The 16,888-nt window shown below is 42.9% G+C and overlaps 1 protein-coding gene and 2 long non-coding RNA genes across 11 annotated transcripts in view, besides 5 other annotated features; 2 read left to right on the forward strand and 1 right to left on the reverse strand.

Annotated features, from left to right (window-relative positions):
- Positions 1-5,563, forward strand: part of LINC02774 (long intergenic non-protein coding RNA 2774) — a 129,916-nt gene extending 124,353 nt beyond the window's left edge. Inside the window, exons 10-12 of the long non-coding RNA NR_033883.1 lie at positions 1,669-1,795; positions 3,474-3,537; positions 5,138-5,563. This is a non-coding gene — a long non-coding RNA (long intergenic non-protein coding RNA 2774). The remainder of the gene's footprint in view (positions 1-1,668; positions 1,796-3,473; positions 3,538-5,137) is intronic.
- Positions 3,929-6,487, reverse strand: LOC124904570 (uncharacterized). The gene is made up of 2 exons (XR_007066975.1): positions 6,257-6,487; positions 3,929-5,843 (listed from the first exon to the last, which is right to left on the reverse strand). It is a non-coding gene; the product is annotated as an uncharacterized LOC124904570 (long non-coding RNA).
- Positions 6,168-6,327: an enhancer, noted in NCBI's record as "active region_2831". NCBI's record gives its function as "activates an Ori minimal core promoter by ATAC-STARR-seq in GM12878 lymphoblastoid cells {active_cell/tissue: GM12878}" and the evidence as "EXISTENCE:reporter gene assay evidence [ECO:0000049][PMID:35858748]".
- Positions 6,498-6,617: a silencer, noted in NCBI's record as "silent region_2011". NCBI's record gives its function as "represses an Ori minimal core promoter by ATAC-STARR-seq in GM12878 lymphoblastoid cells {active_cell/tissue: GM12878}" and the evidence as "EXISTENCE:reporter gene assay evidence [ECO:0000049][PMID:35858748]".
- On the forward strand, positions 6,737-15,722 carry ZBTB18 (zinc finger and BTB domain containing 18). Of its 9 annotated transcripts, none has more exons than XM_017000060.2 (3): positions 9,529-9,690; positions 11,346-11,446; positions 12,034-15,722. In XM_017000060.2, the coding sequence occupies exon 3, from the start codon at positions 12,048-12,050 to the stop codon at positions 13,614-13,616; it is 1,569 nt and encodes a 522-aa protein (XP_016855549.1). In that variant the 5' UTR covers positions 9,529-9,690; positions 11,346-11,446; positions 12,034-12,047; the 3' UTR covers positions 13,617-15,722. The 9 variants fall into 9 exon arrangements, with proteins under 9 accessions (XP_047286911.1, NP_001265125.1, XP_016855549.1 ...); XM_005273006.3 differs by having other exon boundaries at positions 11,417-11,446; NM_001421566.1 differs by lacking the exon at positions 11,346-11,446 and having other exon boundaries at positions 12,034-12,721; positions 12,834-15,722.
- Positions 8,538-8,587: an enhancer, noted in NCBI's record as "active region_2832". NCBI's record gives its function as "activates an Ori minimal core promoter by ATAC-STARR-seq in GM12878 lymphoblastoid cells {active_cell/tissue: GM12878}" and the evidence as "EXISTENCE:reporter gene assay evidence [ECO:0000049][PMID:35858748]".
- Positions 8,768-8,857: a silencer, noted in NCBI's record as "silent region_2012". NCBI's record gives its function as "represses an Ori minimal core promoter by ATAC-STARR-seq in GM12878 lymphoblastoid cells {active_cell/tissue: GM12878}" and the evidence as "EXISTENCE:reporter gene assay evidence [ECO:0000049][PMID:35858748]".
- Positions 10,304-10,805: an enhancer, noted in NCBI's record as "NANOG hESC enhancer chr1:244215360-244215861 (GRCh37/hg19 assembly coordinates)". NCBI's record gives its function as "activates a minimal SCP1, AML or CMV promoter by ChIP-STARR-seq in primed H9 embryonic stem cells {active_cell/tissue: H9 hESC(primed)}" and the evidence as "EXISTENCE:reporter gene assay evidence [ECO:0000049][PMID:30033119]".

Raw genomic sequence — 16,888 nt, forward strand, 5'->3', positions numbered from 1 at the left:
TGATTAGTTAGGTTAACAAATAGTTCAAATTACTCAATGAAATGTCAATACATACCTACAATTTCCCTATAAGGTCAACCTAAAACTACGCAATGAATGTGCTATGAAATTCTTATCTCTATTAAGAAAAATCTAGTTCATATTAAGCCAATCTTACCAGAAAAACCAGCCAAACTAGTAACTTAGGTATATGAGTGTGCATGTGAGTACACACACACACACACACACACACACACACGCCTTGCCCTGATCGTAGCAACCTCATGTCTGGAAAGAGTTAAATACTGAGTATAGTCTACATTATTTTTTTAAAATTCTTTATTCTTTTATCAAGTGCTCTCTTGGCAAAATCAACTGAGTATATTCTAGTCTTCTTTACTTTGGGGCCAGCTATTTCATGAAGTATTATTTAAGAATAATTTGCAAGACAAAAAATAGTGGCATACATCAGCAGAGCCCAGGAAGAAGTATTCACATCTCTGCTTTATTTACCTTGCTGCTGCCACCACCAACTCTGCCAGCACCATTGCCACCACCATGGCCTCTACCATAGACCACTTCCCAGTGGGATCTTTCCTTCTCTTTACCTCTCTTCCGTTATCCTTCTTCTACACTGTCACCATCTTCTCACCATTCTTTACAGCCCTCCCATCCCTGTAAAGCTGTTGTCCCATATATTGCTCTACTCTGTCTGTCATTTGTCTCTAAAATGCCCTATTGTGCATGTGTCTTTGTTATGCAGTCTCTTGTCACTGTCTGTTTTAGTGAGCCTGTGTTCCTGCATCTGTCCCATATCCCAAGTGCTAAGGTACGGCGTGGCATTGTACACCAGTTGTGAGTCCAATTTCTTTTTCTGAACCCAAACTTTTTTTTTTTGCCATGACCTTGCTGAACAGCCTCAGTTGTGTAAAGTTACTTCAGAGCAATGGGTTTTCAGTTAAAACATGTGACATTTATGTACAGAGACAGAGAACAAAGAAAGCTTCAAGGCCCCTAGAAGGAATGTGAAATGTGTGTTCTCTGAGTTCATATTCAAGAACCACTTTTCCTATTGTCTCCCATAAAGCTATTACTGCAGCTTCAATTTAAAATGCTTATTTTTACTGAGTTTAATTTAGATACACATTTGCATTGTAAAATGGGTACTTTAAAAATAATCATTTTAGTCTTAGGCATAAATGCTAGTTCTTTGTAAGAGAAGTAACTTCCTGAGTTGCATGTTATTGCTAAGGGCGAAGTAAATTTCTGGAGTGAAATTTAACCTTCTGTCTGCTCTTATTACCGGGAATAGTTTGAATTTGGTATGTATCAAGACTTTTGTGTTAAATTTATAGAATTTCTTTATAACCAAAGAGTTGTATTAAGACAATTTTATCTTGTTACAGTAGTTAAGATTGGTAAACACTTATTAGGCATCAGCAACATATTAGTCTCTGAAAGAAAAATGAAATCTCATCTTTGTCCAGTGGATTCACAATGACATTTATATATACATAATGAAGATATAAGAGGGAATGATATTATTTCATGTATTGTTGGCACCCAGCACATGGTGGAAACTTAACAAGAACCATGATAATGCAGTTTCGTGTTTCTCTAACATATACTAAGTTCTTAGTAAATAATTTCTAGATGTATCATTTTCCTTTCTGCTTGTTTAAATCCAAGAAGGTGCTGCATTCAAGAGTGAAGCAAGCACAAAAGGAAAGGAAAAATCTCTCCCTGGAGGAGAATGCAGACAGACAGACAGACGCTATTTGTATCTTTGCGTCCGAAGCACAGCAGCTAACACACAGTAGGTGTGAGGCATCAATATTACCTGGTAACCTCTCTTGTTCTGTTCATTTCAACTTTTCTAAGTTCATTTGCAACCCGAATTTCTACAAACTCCAATTTAAGCAATGTAATACAAGTGAGAATATTAGCATTCAAATATTTAGAAGTCTTATCCTCTCATTTTGAATAAAACAACTTCTATTTACTAATATTGTACAACATTTTAGCACAATTGATACCCCTGAAGACTTCCATCATTGAAGAAGGGGTTCTGAATATCATAGGTTCATATTAAATCTTTCTTTAGTAGAATTTACTCATCTGGAAGTCACATGTTTAGTTGGGTTATTTTAAATGGTAAATCTTAAAAAGCCCACAGATGAAACGAGTGTATCTTTTAATTATCCAAAGTAATGCAGCCTTCAACCCCACAGATTAACTCCAACATCTGGTATTTGAAGGCATGTGATTCTTAAGGATGGTAGACTTGCCTTTAGAAATTTGTTTTGTTTAGGATAGCCTTTAAATAATTTTTAACTGATTAAACTCCCACCAGTGAATGATACAAAGGCATCCTGTGTAGCAAGGAAGCCAGCCAGCCTGGGGTTCAAAAGTGGCCTGGGATTATATACAAAGTGAATGATGAATATATTTATAGTACAAAGTTAACAAGAAAAGCCATCATTGTGTGCATTTTTTTCTTCCATATGCTGTAACGTATAATGTATTTTATGGGGAGACTGGAGGAGATAGAGGGGGGAGAGAGAATGAGAAGAGGGTTGTGAGTTGGGTGGCTACTGAAACACCTCTTTGCTTTTTTCCTAAATTCTCTGAAGTGGCCTGTCTTAGTCCCAACCAAGCCAGAAGTATTGGCCTCCTTCAGCCATTATGCTGTCTGTAAAAGCACTGATTTACAGTAAGCAACAAAACACTGGCTACACAGGAAAAAGAGTTTTAGGGAGACTATCCTTTGCTCCCCTCTGCCCTTAAGCCTCAGCAGGTTTGAATCACTGGTGTAGGTTCATTCTGCTTTCATTGGCATACCACCAATGCCTGCTGCAAATCTGCTAAGGACTTCTCAAGAGTTTATGACATTATTTCTATCTTCAGGGCTGAGAATCAGGCTGAATTATCTCCAATTTAGGGCTTACCATAGTTTAGGAATTTAATAGATTCAAGTATCACAGAATTTATAACCCAGGGAATGATTTGACATAGAAAGTGCTTTGCAGAATTATAAATATATTTTACAGATAAGATTAGACTGTATTATAGAGAATTATAAATACGTAAAATATGTATTTTAAGAATGATGCTATATAAAATATGCTCCCTGTTCACTTCATTCTGTCTGTAAAAAAAACACACAGGTTACAGTTTTTGATGTATCAATGTCTCCTCCATATCTTTGGGGCTGTTACTCTACTTGCAGGTACATTCTATAAAACATTTTGTTAGAGCTATGCCTTGGCTTTAGATGCAGTACAGCTGAGTTTCTAAGCTTTTTGTAGATAATCCGAGTGTACTAATATTTTCATGAATTGTTTAATATCCTGACACTATCAATTACTTTCTGTCTACTCATGTAGAGATCTGTCACTCTCCTTAATGTGTTGTGATGTGTGTTCTGGTTTGTTCATTTACTTTTTTTTAAATCACTGTCTCAACTGTGTTTCAGTGTTTCCTTTTCCCTTTAGAGCATATCAACCTGTTCATTTCTAAATGCCAGAAGAGAGATGAGACAGAGAGAAAAAAAACTAAGTAAGTTCATAGAGTTCCATGTATGCTCTAATATTGAAAGTGAGTGGGCTTCATAGAAGCTTGAACACACTTCCCAGTTTAGTGTATTTTTTCTCTCTAGGTTCAAAATCAGGTTGACCTCTACTTACGTTTTGTTAGATTTTATAGTTATTATATTATCAATATAATACCTTCAAACACCTAGTATTTTACTGTTGCTTGCCTCCCTAATTTTTAAAGAAACATTCCATTCCTGTAGGAAATTAATACATTTATAAAATATCAATATCCAAAAACTAGTTTCCAAGATAACTTTTTCAATATGACCTATTGCATAAAGTGTAATAAAAACACTGAGGTTTTTCAGAGATTTGAGCTGTGGTTCACACTTAAAGGTCAGACATTCATTTTATGGAGTTGCTCATCAAATTAAATTTTATTTGATCCATCAACATTTTATACTATTACATTGTTATTAGTTGAAATGAATATGTTATTAGCACATAAAACTTGTTCCCTGGCAAGAAAGATTCATTTGTATCACTTTTAATTTCAGGACACCTAGAAAAGTATGGATTAACTAGAACTATACAGGACTGGATTCCTCCAGAAAGAAAGTATGGTATCTTTTCCCAAGAGCTTAGAATGTATACTTTTTGCCCTTTTCTCCCCCACTATGGGGGGCTGGGGAGAAGTATAGATTATTAGCTAAAAAACAAACAAAAAAACCGACAAACTCGACAGGTGTCAAGTAGCTGTGTGTCTTGGTAATTTGCTCAGCCTGTTATATAGTGGTAAACACCCTACTTTGAGGTGCTTACTTGAGGCGGATATTCAGACTTTGACTTATTACCTTCCAGGGTTCCAATGGGTATTAAATAAAAATACTACTCATTCTGTATTATGACTCCTCCGATATCAGCCTACTTTTACTCACAATTTTCATGGTGATAACTTTCCAAAGGATTGAAAGTATCATCTGTACGATAAGTTTATAAAACAGTTTAAGACAAGAGAGTAAAAACAATTTATTTAAATGTGAAAAAAAGGGCATAAAAGACAGTCACACTAGGGGACTCTGGATAAAATGGTTGTAGCAACTGAGGGGCAACAGATTTGCTTCCTTAAATATCCATTTAATCTATATTTCCTGGCCACACTGCTCAGTTCCCAAAATGGATTCTAGTAATGACTGTAAGGGAAACACAATACACACACACACACATACACACACAGGTTACAATTTTTGATGTATCAATGTCTCCTCCATATCTTTGGGGCTGTTACTCTACTTGCAGGTACATTCTATAAAACATTTTGTTAGAGCTATGCCTTGGCTTTAGATGCAGTACAGCTGAGTTTCTAAGCTTTTTGTAGATAATCCGAGTGTACTAATATTTTCATGAATTAATATCCTGACACTATCAATTACTTTCTGTCTACTCATGTAGAGATCTGTCACTCTCCTTAATTTTAACTTTTAGTAGATGAGAAACAGCTTTGATAACGCAAACATTTCTTTTTCCCTGAATTAGTTGGTGAAACATATACTTTTCACATCTCATTTTGTGTGCCTGTATATTTCATTCGTGAATAACATTTATTCCTTACCTTGAAACAGGTCAGACTGAAATTGGGCCTTCTACCACTAGACTGAAAAGACCTAGAATTCATCGACAGCACAGATACAACAAAAGCCTTCATGGAATACAAAAACTCCAATTTTCATAGGATATCCTTGACCTCAGTGATGAATCATGAGGGCGTAGAGGGTTGAGAAAAAAGTAGGCACATCACTACTGTTTCTAACCAGATATCTCGAAGCTATTTCAGTTCCAGGAATTCTGTCTGCTCCTGTTTTTACTTCATTAGCAATTCAACATGTCTGATTTGCCCACACAATACTTTCCAGCTACTTTACCCATTTGACCTGGAACAAAGTGAAAGCACATTTTGCCCAGTTGAAAGGTCTCCTGGCAGGTTGGTTAGCAACAGGCTTGCCAGTCTGGGTTCTGTTAGCAAAGAATAAACACATTTCATTAGACAATGACTAGTGGACTGACTTCCTCACTATGAAGTTGTTTTTTTTTTTCTATTTTATTTTCTTCAGCCATTCCCCCTCCCCCACCACTTGTTATTCAACTTTTTACTTGTAATTCTTGCCTCGATACGATTTCCAATTTCTTGACGGCAGACATTTCCACGTCTTTGTGGCTGTGATTAACGCAGTCTAATTGCCAAGAACAGGTACCGAGTAAAAGTTTATTTGAAGGAAAGAAAAGCGACACAGCAGTCTTACATCGTCCCTCGGTAGTTTAAAGTTGTGGCTAGATACGTATCAATTAAGGAATCAAGCTGAGGCATCTGCAAGTACCAATTTTACTGTAATGCTCTAAAATTTGGTCACTTGGGGAAGTCTTTACTTGTAACAGTGTAAGTACACAAGGGACAGGAGGGTTTTGCGAGAAAGGCGGGCGCTCTGCCCTGTTCTGCCCGTGACATGATGACGTAAGAACGACTCCCAGAAACTGCCTGAGTCGCCTGCGTCCCCAGCTCCCCGATGTGCACCTGGGCGCGGGACGCCGCAGGACGGAGCGAGAGCGCTCCTCGGTCCCGCTCCCCTGCGCACGGGCCGGCGAGGACCCGGGCGTCTTCACCCCCACAGGAAGGAGCAGAGAGAGCCACCCGAAGTCGGCCTCGAGTCATCCGTGTCCCCGGGTGCCCTGCCTCTCCAGGATACCTGCGTAACTCGCAGCAGCCAAGCCCCACTACGTTCAAAAGTGTGTTTGTGGTTGTCACAGTGCACACCGAAAAGCTCGCTCCGCACCCGCAGAGTGCGCGGGGCCTCTGAGCCTGGAAACAAGCCCCTCCCAGCGCAGCTGTCGCCGCCGCCTGCGGGCTCCTTTCACTTTCTCACGGCCAAGTCACCCAGAGGGGCGCCGCTGCTGCCACCGCCGCTGCGCCCGAGGACTCCGCCCCGCGCCGCTTCGCTCCGGATCCCCGCCCGCCCGAGCCCCGCCCACCCCAACAGTTGCTGCCTGCGATTGGAACGCGCGGGAGGGCAGCTACGGCTCGCCACCCCCATTGGCTGGGCCCCCTTGTCAGTCCGACGACTGCCCACCACCCCCTCCGCCTTCCCGAAGAGCCGCCTTCCCATTGGAGGAGTCTGAGGGCTGGGGGCGGGCGGGGAGCGCCGGTCCAGCCGCTTTCGGTCAATCGCAGAAGCCCAACGCCCGGAGGGAGGGAGGCAGGGGAAGGAGAGGGGCGGACTGAGGGTGGGGGGAACATCTGGCCGGCGCCGCCGCGTGCGTGCGTGGTGCGTCCTCCCGCCCCCTCCCCTCCCCCTCCCCCGCGCCCGCCCCCCCCCCGCCCCCGCCCCCCCACCCGGCCCGGCGGCTCCGCGCTCGCTCCCTCGCTCGCTCCCTCGCTGTGTCTGGCAGGCTGCGGCCGCCGCTGGGCTGCTGCCATGGGGAGCCGTTGAGAGTGGGGCCCTCTTCGCTCCGCCGCGCTCCTCCGGCTGCCAGCGGGGGTGGGCGGGAGGGAGGGGCGGGGGGGAGCGGGCGACGGAGCCGGGATTGGGGGGTGGGGGGGCCGGGAGGGAGGGGGGCAAGAGCCGGAGGAAGCCCACCAAGTCCGGCGGCGGCGGCGGCGGCCGGGAGGAGGAGGAGGAGGAGGCGGAGGACGCGGCGGCGGCGGGGACGCGGTGACTTAGGGCCGCTCCGTGTGAGTCCCGGCGCCGGCCCCTGGCCCCTGACCTGGCGCCCCCTCCGCGCCCCGGCACCCCGGCGGGCGGGGGGCGCCAGCTGTGCGGCCCCGGCCGGCTGGGCGGCGCGGGCGGAGGGCGGGCCGGGTCGGGGGCGCCCCCGCGAGTGGAGTTAGTTTGTGTGGTTGGAGCTGTTGGGGCGGCGGGGGGCGGCGCAGCTGCGGGAGGCCCGGGCGCGGGGACGGGGCCGCTGCAGCTGCGGGGTCGGGCGGGGTGCGGGTTCCCGGCTCCGCGCCGCGCCCCCGCGGGCCGGTGCAGCTGCGGCGCGGGGCGGGCTCCCGGCCGGTGCAGCTGCGGTGGCGCCTCTCGGGTGCGGAGGGCGGCGGGCTGGGGGAGGGGGCTTGGGAGCAGCCGCAGCTGCAGTGGCGCCCGGGACGGCCGCGGCTCCGGGGACCGGTGCAGCTGCAGTGGCGCCCGGGGGAGGGGGCCGGCGGGGGAGGGGGCCCTCCCGGGCTGGTGCAGTTGCCCGGAGGCCCCGGGGGCTCGCGCGTCGCGGCATCGGGGAAGCGGTAGCAACCACTCTCCTCCCGCTGGCTGCTTCTTACGACTTTTCTTTTGTTGTTGCCGTGACCCGGGTCTGTTTTCTCCTCTGTTGTTTAAGGTGTTTTCCTGCTGCACCGGCTCTGCGCCCTCCACCTCCTTCCCTGTGGTTTTAACCTTCCTCTTTCCCCGTGTGTTTTATGCACGGCGAACTACGTAAAGATTTGCATTGCTTCCCCACTCGGCACCCCCGCCCCCACCTCTCTGAAAAACAAAACCCCAACCTCACAAAACCTCTATGGATCCGCGGTAGCGAGACGTGAAGGGGTTGATTTGTGGAGTGGGAGTTGCTGGCCCATTGCGGTGCCCGGGACTCATTAAACTGTCACTCACCCCCCACCCCACTGGGTAAATGGGGTGATTAATGTCTGATATATTGGAATGGGTCGAGGGCATTTGTGGAGAATAGGTGGTGTGGCTGGGAAGAAATTGATCTCCCGAGGATGTCTCCTGGACTAAGTGTTCATAATTATGTCACTCACCGCGAAGTTGGAGAAAGTTAGGTTTGTGACTTTGGGAAAGCGAGAAGGACAGGACGGAGTCGTCGGGTTTTGTTACTCTTTAACTCTCCGCCACGGCTTTCTAATGGGAACGAAGTGGTTATCACCAGGGCTGGGACGCTGGCGCCTCAGGCCCCAGTTCCTTTTCTACCCCTCGCCCTCCCAAGAGTCTGAGGAGATGTATTTGACATTCAGAGATGTCGCAGCACCCTGCCCGGTACCGGTCAGCCCAGCCCGGGTCGCGTTACAGTTTCATCAGCTATTAGAAAAGACCCACAAACTGGCTGAAAAGTTCTCAAACTTACTAGACCTGGCTTCCCCCCACACAAAGATTTTCTTGTGATCATAAACATTAGAGTGACCCCCCCCCAAAGAAAAAAAAGATTGTTAAGGGACACAGATCAAGGGGAAGGCAAGGTTCTGCTTTTTCTGAGCAGAAAGATCAGATATGCAGGTGCAGCATTCATTTTAAGTGACTGGAGCAGGTTGTATCAGTTTATTAATTGGTCTCGTTGAACTGAAGTACTTTCCAGGATTTCAGAAAGTGCAGTTTCAGCTTGTTGGTACCGAGAATTGAAATTTGCATTGACTGTGGCAGTGTAAGAAATTTTTCTGAGAAGGTAGTTGTAGATAAGTAATTACATAAGAGTGAAATAATAAGGTGAACCAGTCTGAAGTAATAGTTCTGAACAAGTCTGCCAACATTTGAGACATGTATACCATTATCTCAGCAGAAAAAAATAAAAAAGTGCGGTAATAATGTTGAAATGGGACTGGAGATGTCAAATGGGTTGGTTTAAAAATATCCCTAAACTGCTTTAGAAACTAAACGTTGGAGTTGAATAAAAGTGAATCTGGATTTCCTGAATAGCACCGTGGCTTGAGTGTGCTGTCAGTATGTAAGCCAGTCCACCAACTTAAGACAGAAGTGTTGCTATTCCATAAATACAGTAGAACTCCATATGCTGAGTTTTTCAATTTCTTCTGTTAGAAAGTTTGGAAAAAAAGGAAGACTTTGAAGTATTTTGTTTATACTAACAGAAGAGAAAAGTTCTCCTAAGAAAAAGCTGGTGGCAGGAGTGTAGAGGAGTAGCATATGGCATTAAAAGGAGCACAGCTGGAGGTAGCATTTCCATCTGAACATGATGTCAGAGCAGCTGACAGCCTGCCATCCCTCAGCCTTTTATTCTAACACACAGACAGGGAGTTAGTGTGTGCGGATCTGTGGTGGAGAAGGTATCTCATTCCTCTCTAACATCATCTCCACTTTGCATCTGTCTCTCTTAGTCTGCTTTTTTTCCACCGATGTAACAGACCTGGAGCCAGCAGGACTCAGAGGAAAGGACTTAATCAGGTTTATGTGTCCTAAAGGTAGGAGTAGCAAGAGATTAGATTGAGCATATTTCTGTTTTGGTGTTTTGTTTATTTAATTTTAAAAATCACATTACTTTTCTAACCCAGTTTAGGAATAATATATGAAATTGAGTATTAAATGAACATCTTACTGGAGTTGAAAGTCTTGAGCTTGTTTAGTTTTAATTTTTTATCCCTTTTACTTGAGCGAGTAAATAACTTTAATACACAAATATTTCAAGTTTTGAAATGTTAAGAAAGGCTTTAAAATGCTGCTTTTGGAAATCACGTTGGATTAAAATGCTTTTTTGTTGTTCACTGCTATTTAGATTTGATTGGGGTGGTGGTGGTGGGGAAATAGTAAACTGGAATCCAGCATTCAAACTTATATGAGAAGATTATTCTAGTTAAGCAGCTAGATTGTTGTATAATTAATTCCTCTGTGAAACTTTATTCTTCAAAACATTGAGCAGCACTACTGAAACATACAGCTGTAGTGCTGTTGAAACTGCAGGTTTTTAAGAAGAAGAAAAAAAAACCAAACTTTTGTCCCCAGGAGAATAGTTTGACTGGTTTCCTCATTTCTCTTTCAAATATATATTTAAGAGATCTTTTATTTCAGCATAACAATAATTATTTGCAGGAGTTTTTGTGTTAGCGACTAATTTAGAACTTGTAGATTTGAGCTGCCTGAATTGGCCAGACAGCTGTAATCGCACTCCTCTATTCTTAATCTCTTTATCTGGGCAGCAGCTGCCATATGGCCACAGTCAGCTGGATCAGATGTTTATAAGCTTCCTTCTTCGTCCCTCTCTGTCCTCTCAGCCTCCTAATTTGATCACGGCTACCTTGTGAGCTGCCCTCCAATCTTTATTTTTAGCCTTCTCAAGGATTAGGATTGATGTTAGCTGTGGGGCACTTAAAGTGATTGTATTGTAAATCTTAGTTTATTCTAGCAGTGGCATCTTGCAGAATGTGTCTGGGGTTAGGATAAAGTTTTAGTCTGTCTTGGGCAAAGTGTAGAAGAACAAGAAGAAAGGAAGTAATTTCTGAATATTAAATTAAGTGTATCTATTCCCAAAATGCACTTGCTGAGATGGGTGGTGTGGAGGCTTGCTTCTGGTCACAGGAAAGGGGAAGTCGGGTCTTCTTTATTTTTCAGGAGTTTACCCACTGCAGTTGAATTCTGACCCTTTGTACATCTTTGCCTTTCTCCTCCCTCCATTTCACTTTCCCTCATCACAAAACAAGGGCAATGATGAATATTTGCAAGAATAGAAGCTAGTGGGAAAACAGAAATATATCAAATTATATTGAAACAAAGTATTTTCTGTTGGCTGAGGTAAGGCAGAACCAGGAAAAAAAAAAAGGTTCTCTTTTTCTAAAAAGGCTTAAAAAAAAACGTTGAACCTGTAAAGCTTTTGAGTTTTATTTAAGCGCTGTATGCCTTTATTTTTAAAAGTTTGAATTAATTTCAATATGAAACTCATTTTGCCTTGCAACGGATCAAAGTTTAGATGAGAATTTTCGGAGTTCAGTAAAGCCCCTCTGGTTCCTAATATTCTGAAAGTACAGTTTCTACAAAGAAATGTAACTACTTTTTTCTCAGTTCGTTTTGAAAAATCTTTGGATTTGTTCATAGTAAAGATGATCTTTTCCATCTGTTGGTGCAGCTCCTTCTGATCTCGTACATGTGTGCTATACCTGCAAATCTGAAGGCATTAACATCTGTTTTTATACACAGGGCTTTTGTTGTAACACCCTGACTTTAAAAGTAAGTTGTTTGCTAATTTCTGGACTAATTATGCAATTTCATTTTTTTTTCTTGATTCAGCCAAATGTGTGTGTGTGTGTTTAAACTGTGCTTTCTAAGCACAGTCAGGTAGCAAAAGTAATAAAAAGGATGGTTGAACAAGTTTTCTTGTATGTTCCAGGATATGTTTGGGACTTTTCTTTGTTTATTATATGAGTTGTTCCCTTTGAAATTAAAGCTATTTTGTAGGTTTTGTGGGACATAATTTGATAAGTAGAGTTAATTAAATTTCTTCTGGAAGAGATCTAAATTCTTATTCTTAGTGAGAGACTGTAGTTAAAGGAAGGCTTTTAGAACTTGGGTTCAAGGAAGATGGAGATGCGTCGGAAGCTCTTTGGCGGGGGTGAGGAAGTTCAGAAAGTGTGCATTTTCCTTCTGGCATTTAGGTCTTGTCCGTGTGATTTGGTGGTGCTTGGGTCATAAGCCTGATTAAAATTCAGGGACATGTACCACGGCGGCCAAAGCGGAATTAATTTTTTTATATGGGGACTGGAGCGCTGAAAAGTTGTTCCTGACCAGGCTCTAATGAGAAATTCCTCTCTCCCCAGGTTATGAAGACAGTATGGAGTTTCCAGACCATAGTAGACATTTGCTACAGTGTCTGAGCGAGCAGAGACACCAGGGTTTTCTTTGTGACTGCACTGTTCTGGTGGGAGATGCCCAGTTCCGAGCGCACCGAGCTGTACTGGCTTCATGCAGCATGTATTTCCACCTCTTTTACAAGGACCAGCTGGACAAAAGAGACATTGTTCATCTGAACAGCGACATTGTTACAGCCCCCGCTTTCGCTCTCCTGCTTGAATTCATGTATGAAGGGAAACTCCAGTTCAAAGACTTGCCCATTGAAGACGTGCTAGCAGCTGCCAGTTATCTCCACATGTATGACATTGTCAAAGTCTGCAAAAAGAAGCTGAAAGAGAAAGCCACCACGGAGGCAGACAGCACCAAAAAGGAAGAAGATGCTTCAAGTTGTTCGGACAAAGTCGAGAGTCTCTCCGATGGCAGCAGCCACATAGCAGGCGATTTGCCCAGTGATGAAGATGAAGGAGAAGATGAAAAATTGAACATCCTGCCCAGCAAAAGGGACTTGGCGGCCGAGCCTGGGAACATGTGGATGCGATTGCCCTCAGACTCAGCAGGCATCCCCCAGGCTGGCGGAGAGGCAGAGCCACACGCCACAGCAGCTGGAAAAACAGTAGCCAGCCCCTGCAGCTCAACAGAGTCTTTGTCCCAGAGGTCTGTCACCTCCGTGAGGGATTCGGCAGATGTTGACTGTGTGCTGGACCTGTCTGTCAAGTCCAGCCTTTCAGGAGTTGAAAATCTGAACAGCTCTTATTTCTCTTCACAGGACGTGCTGAGAAGCAACCTGGTGCAGGTGAAGGTGGAGAAAGAGGCTTCCTGTGATGAGAGTGATGTTGGCACTAATGACTATGACATGGAACATAGCACTGTGAAAGAAAGTGTGAGCACTAATAACAGGGTACAGTATGAGCCGGCCCATCTGGCTCCCCTGAGGGAGGACTCGGTCTTGAGGGAGCTGGACCGGGAGGACAAAGCCAGTGATGATGAGATGATGACCCCAGAGAGCGAGCGTGTCCAGGTGGAGGGAGGCATGGAGAGCAGTCTGCTCCCCTACGTCTCCAACATCCTGAGCCCCGCGGGCCAGATCTTCATGTGCCCCCTGTGCAACAAGGTCTTCCCCAGCCCCCACATCCTGCAGATCCACCTGAGCACGCACTTCCGCGAGCAGGACGGCATCCGCAGCAAGCCCGCCGCCGATGTCAACGTGCCCACGTGCTCGCTGTGTGGGAAGACTTTCTCTTGCATGTACACCCTCAAGCGCCACGAGAGGACTCACTCGGGGGAGAAGCCCTACACATGCACCCAGTGCGGCAAGAGCTTCCAGTACTCGCACAACCTGAGCCGCCATGCCGTGGTGCACACCCGCGAGAAGCCGCACGCCTGCAAGTGGTGCGAGCGCAGGTTCACGCAGTCCGGGGACCTGTACAGACACATTCGCAAGTTCCACTGTGAGTTGGTGAACTCCTTGTCGGTCAAAAGCGAAGCACTGAGCTTGCCTACTGTCAGAGACTGGACCTTAGAAGATAGCTCTCAAGAACTTTGGAAATAATTTTATATATATATAAATAATATATATATATATACATATATATAAATAGATCTCTATATAGTTGTGGTACGGTCTAAAAGCAGTCTTGTTTCCTGGAAATAAAAAGTTGGGATATTAACTTGTTTTTGCACTTTAGAATAGCATGAGAATCTCACTAATTTAGCATTCTGATAAAAGAAACTTTAGAGCAAGTCAGAATAGAGAGGTGTTTTTCCTTTGAGGGGATAGGGGAAGTAAGCCAATAAGAACCTTTTAAACAAATCGTCCTGTCACAAAATGCTTTCATATGGCTTAATTTTGTCAACACTGCATTGTCTTTTGAGCTCTTTTTTCCCCCCCAACAAAGTTTTTTTGTTTTTTGTTTTTTTTTTTAAGTAGAAATTCCCTCCAGTTTTATTAGCCTCTTTATATGTCTCAAATTGCATGAATTTTTTCTGGCTGTTGGAAACCTGAATGCTTTTAGACCCAAATGGAAAATTTCTGAAATGCTGGATTATCTATTTTTAAACAAGCAGTTGACTTAAAACTTTCTGTGGCAACTTCTGGTTTTCTGACAGTTCCCAGTGAGAGAAATGCTGAAAGTACACTGGGATCACTGGGACACTGTCTTATGAAGGTTTGCTTGGGATGAAAAAGGATATTGCAGCTTCAGCAGTGTTGAACTGTGTGTTTAAAAATGTGAATTACTGTTATTGTATACTGTAATTGATTACATGGGCTGGGGGGGTGTCAAAGAACTTGACAGGTTGTGTTGATGCTCTTAGTTGAGTCTTGAAAAGTAAATATTAACGCTACAGAAATGCATGAGTTTCAATATATTTTTTGTCTTTGTTTGCATTGTATAACTTTAACGAGTGAGTTTAAAATTATTTAATTTCCTTAGAAAAATAACACCATTTGGAAAAAAAAACTGGTGTTATGAAGAACGTAAATGCACTGTTTTTATTTTTATTTTATATAATTTAAATTGACTTTCCCACTGTCTTTAAGTTGAAACTGTTAAGCTGAATAAAAACTTAAGCTGCAAATTGATAACTTCGCTACATAACAAGGAAAATATAAATGTTTACAAACAGCTTAAAGATTTGCATGTGCAGTGTGCATTTATAACAAACTTCTAATTGCACAAAACCCATGCCAGCTCAGAGTTTAGGTGTACACATTTACCCAGTTGAGCGTTCTTAGAATAACTACTGCACAAGTTGACAATAGGTCGTTCTCTCTTTTTTTTTGTTTGCTCCCTTTTTCTTTTTCTCCCCTTCCTCCTTACCCTCCCTCCCTTACTCTCCCCCCCCACCACCACCCTCCACCCCCAACTCATGAAAAGATTCTATGGACTGAAAAAGCCCCAGGCTGAAAGGACTGGACTGCCTTGATTGACATGGGGAAGGGGGTTAGTAGACTATGTGGATTGCGGCAGCAGAGGCTGCAGCCTAACGTGTGGTTTTAATGACCAGCACGCAAGGCAAAAGCATTTTGCACAGTGTTTGTTTTCCTGTCTTGCACTTACAAATAAGGTCTATGGGAGTAGCATGGAAAACGTTTGCTGTTTTTCCCTTTTTTTTTTAATTGCTTTTGTTTAAAATTTGATCGCCTTAACTACTGTAAACATAGCCTATTTTTGTGCTTAAGATACTGAATGGAAAACTCCATTGTGTGTTGCTGGACTGTTTTGGAAATATTTGGTTAAATGTGTGTTAATTTGGCTGTAATGGCATTTAAAGCAAACAAACAAACAAAAAAAGCTGTGAAAATGGCCTTGGAGCATTATCTTTAGTTACTTGAAGAGTTTCTAGTTTTTTTAAAATACAGTTTATGTTAAAATAATTTTTATTAATTTAGAGAAGACAATCAATGTCTGTGAGAAAACGGACTTTCTTTTGGATTTTCTTTTTGTGGTCATTGTGAGTGATTGCTTTTTCCTTTTCTTAGTTTCACATTCTTCCTTTGTTCTAAAACTTAGACTGACATCTAGCTTTGACAATCATAGTATGTTTTATTTTCCTGAGGGGGAATAACTTATAATGCTGTTTAGTTTTGTACTATTGGTGTGTTGGTGAATTTTTAAACTGTGTGCTAACTGCAATAAATTATATGAACTGAGAATTTCTTGTGTGTATTTTTTATTGTGATTATGTAGTGTATAGATTCTAAATATGTATCATACCTGGCATCTTTAATATCAATTCTATTCGGAGTTTATGAAATTATTAGAATGCCTTAAATCACTCGAGTGGAAAATGTGTAAGCATTCTAGTCACTTAAGAAGATACTAAATGCACATTTAAAAAATGCGACCCATTTTCACAATCTACATCAAGAATGTTGAGGTAATTCCCTAGAAACTCATGAATCATGAAACTACGTGGCAGCATAGGTTGTTAAAAATACACTGTACAACTACTAATCCATATACCGTAAGTCACTTTTCGTGTGTAATTTTATCCTAAGTTGATCGGTCAAATCTATTCTCCTGTGTTCTGGTTTAAGTGGAAAATTGAAGGAGACCGGATGTTTTAATTTGGAAGACTGCTTGGCTAATGACTGGAATTCTAGGCAATTGAATTAGCAGGCATGCAATTGTTCACGATTAGCTATATACATCCTTTTTGTTGCTGGGAGAACTCGAAAGTTTCTAGGTTTTAATTCTCAAGTTTTAATTTAAACATGTAATTAAATACATGGACCATTAAAAGAACTCTGTTCCCTACTTTTTATGATTGTCCCAACTTCATGCTTATCTAGTTGGGTACATGTCAGGGTGAGAAACATTGCTGGTTGACCTGGGTAGGGAATTGACAGAACACTCACACATGCGGATGATACTGTAGAGGAATTGTCACAAACAACCCTAAGCTCAAGCAGTCAGGTGCAGGCATGGAGAGGTTTTGTAAACCGTGCTTGTCTCTAACTTCCAACCTTAAATAGAAATATGACTATGAAATTTTACATTATTACTGTCAAACTATGTTTATATTCAGTGGCCTATAGTAAGGTCAATATTTTTAACCTACAGAAGTGGGATATAAGGTCTGAAGTTTGAAAATGGACCATTTACCAACTACCTGGTGGCTTTGGATAGGAAGCCACAGGGATTTTGTCATGAAGTATAATAACATAATTTGGAATCCTAATTTCCATCCCCCTGCCTTTTTTTTTTTTTTTCTAAAACAATTTTTAAAGTATGTAACTCATCCTTGGTTTTAACCAGCCAAATACTGTTTCACATGAAAGGGGAATGTACATTTGACCCCCATAGAATAATTTCTTGA

The sequence above is a fragment of the Homo sapiens genome, chromosome 1 (genome assembly GCF_000001405.40).
Source record: "Homo sapiens chromosome 1, GRCh38.p14 Primary Assembly".
NCBI classification, from domain to species: domain Eukaryota; kingdom Metazoa; phylum Chordata; class Mammalia; order Primates; family Hominidae; genus Homo; species Homo sapiens.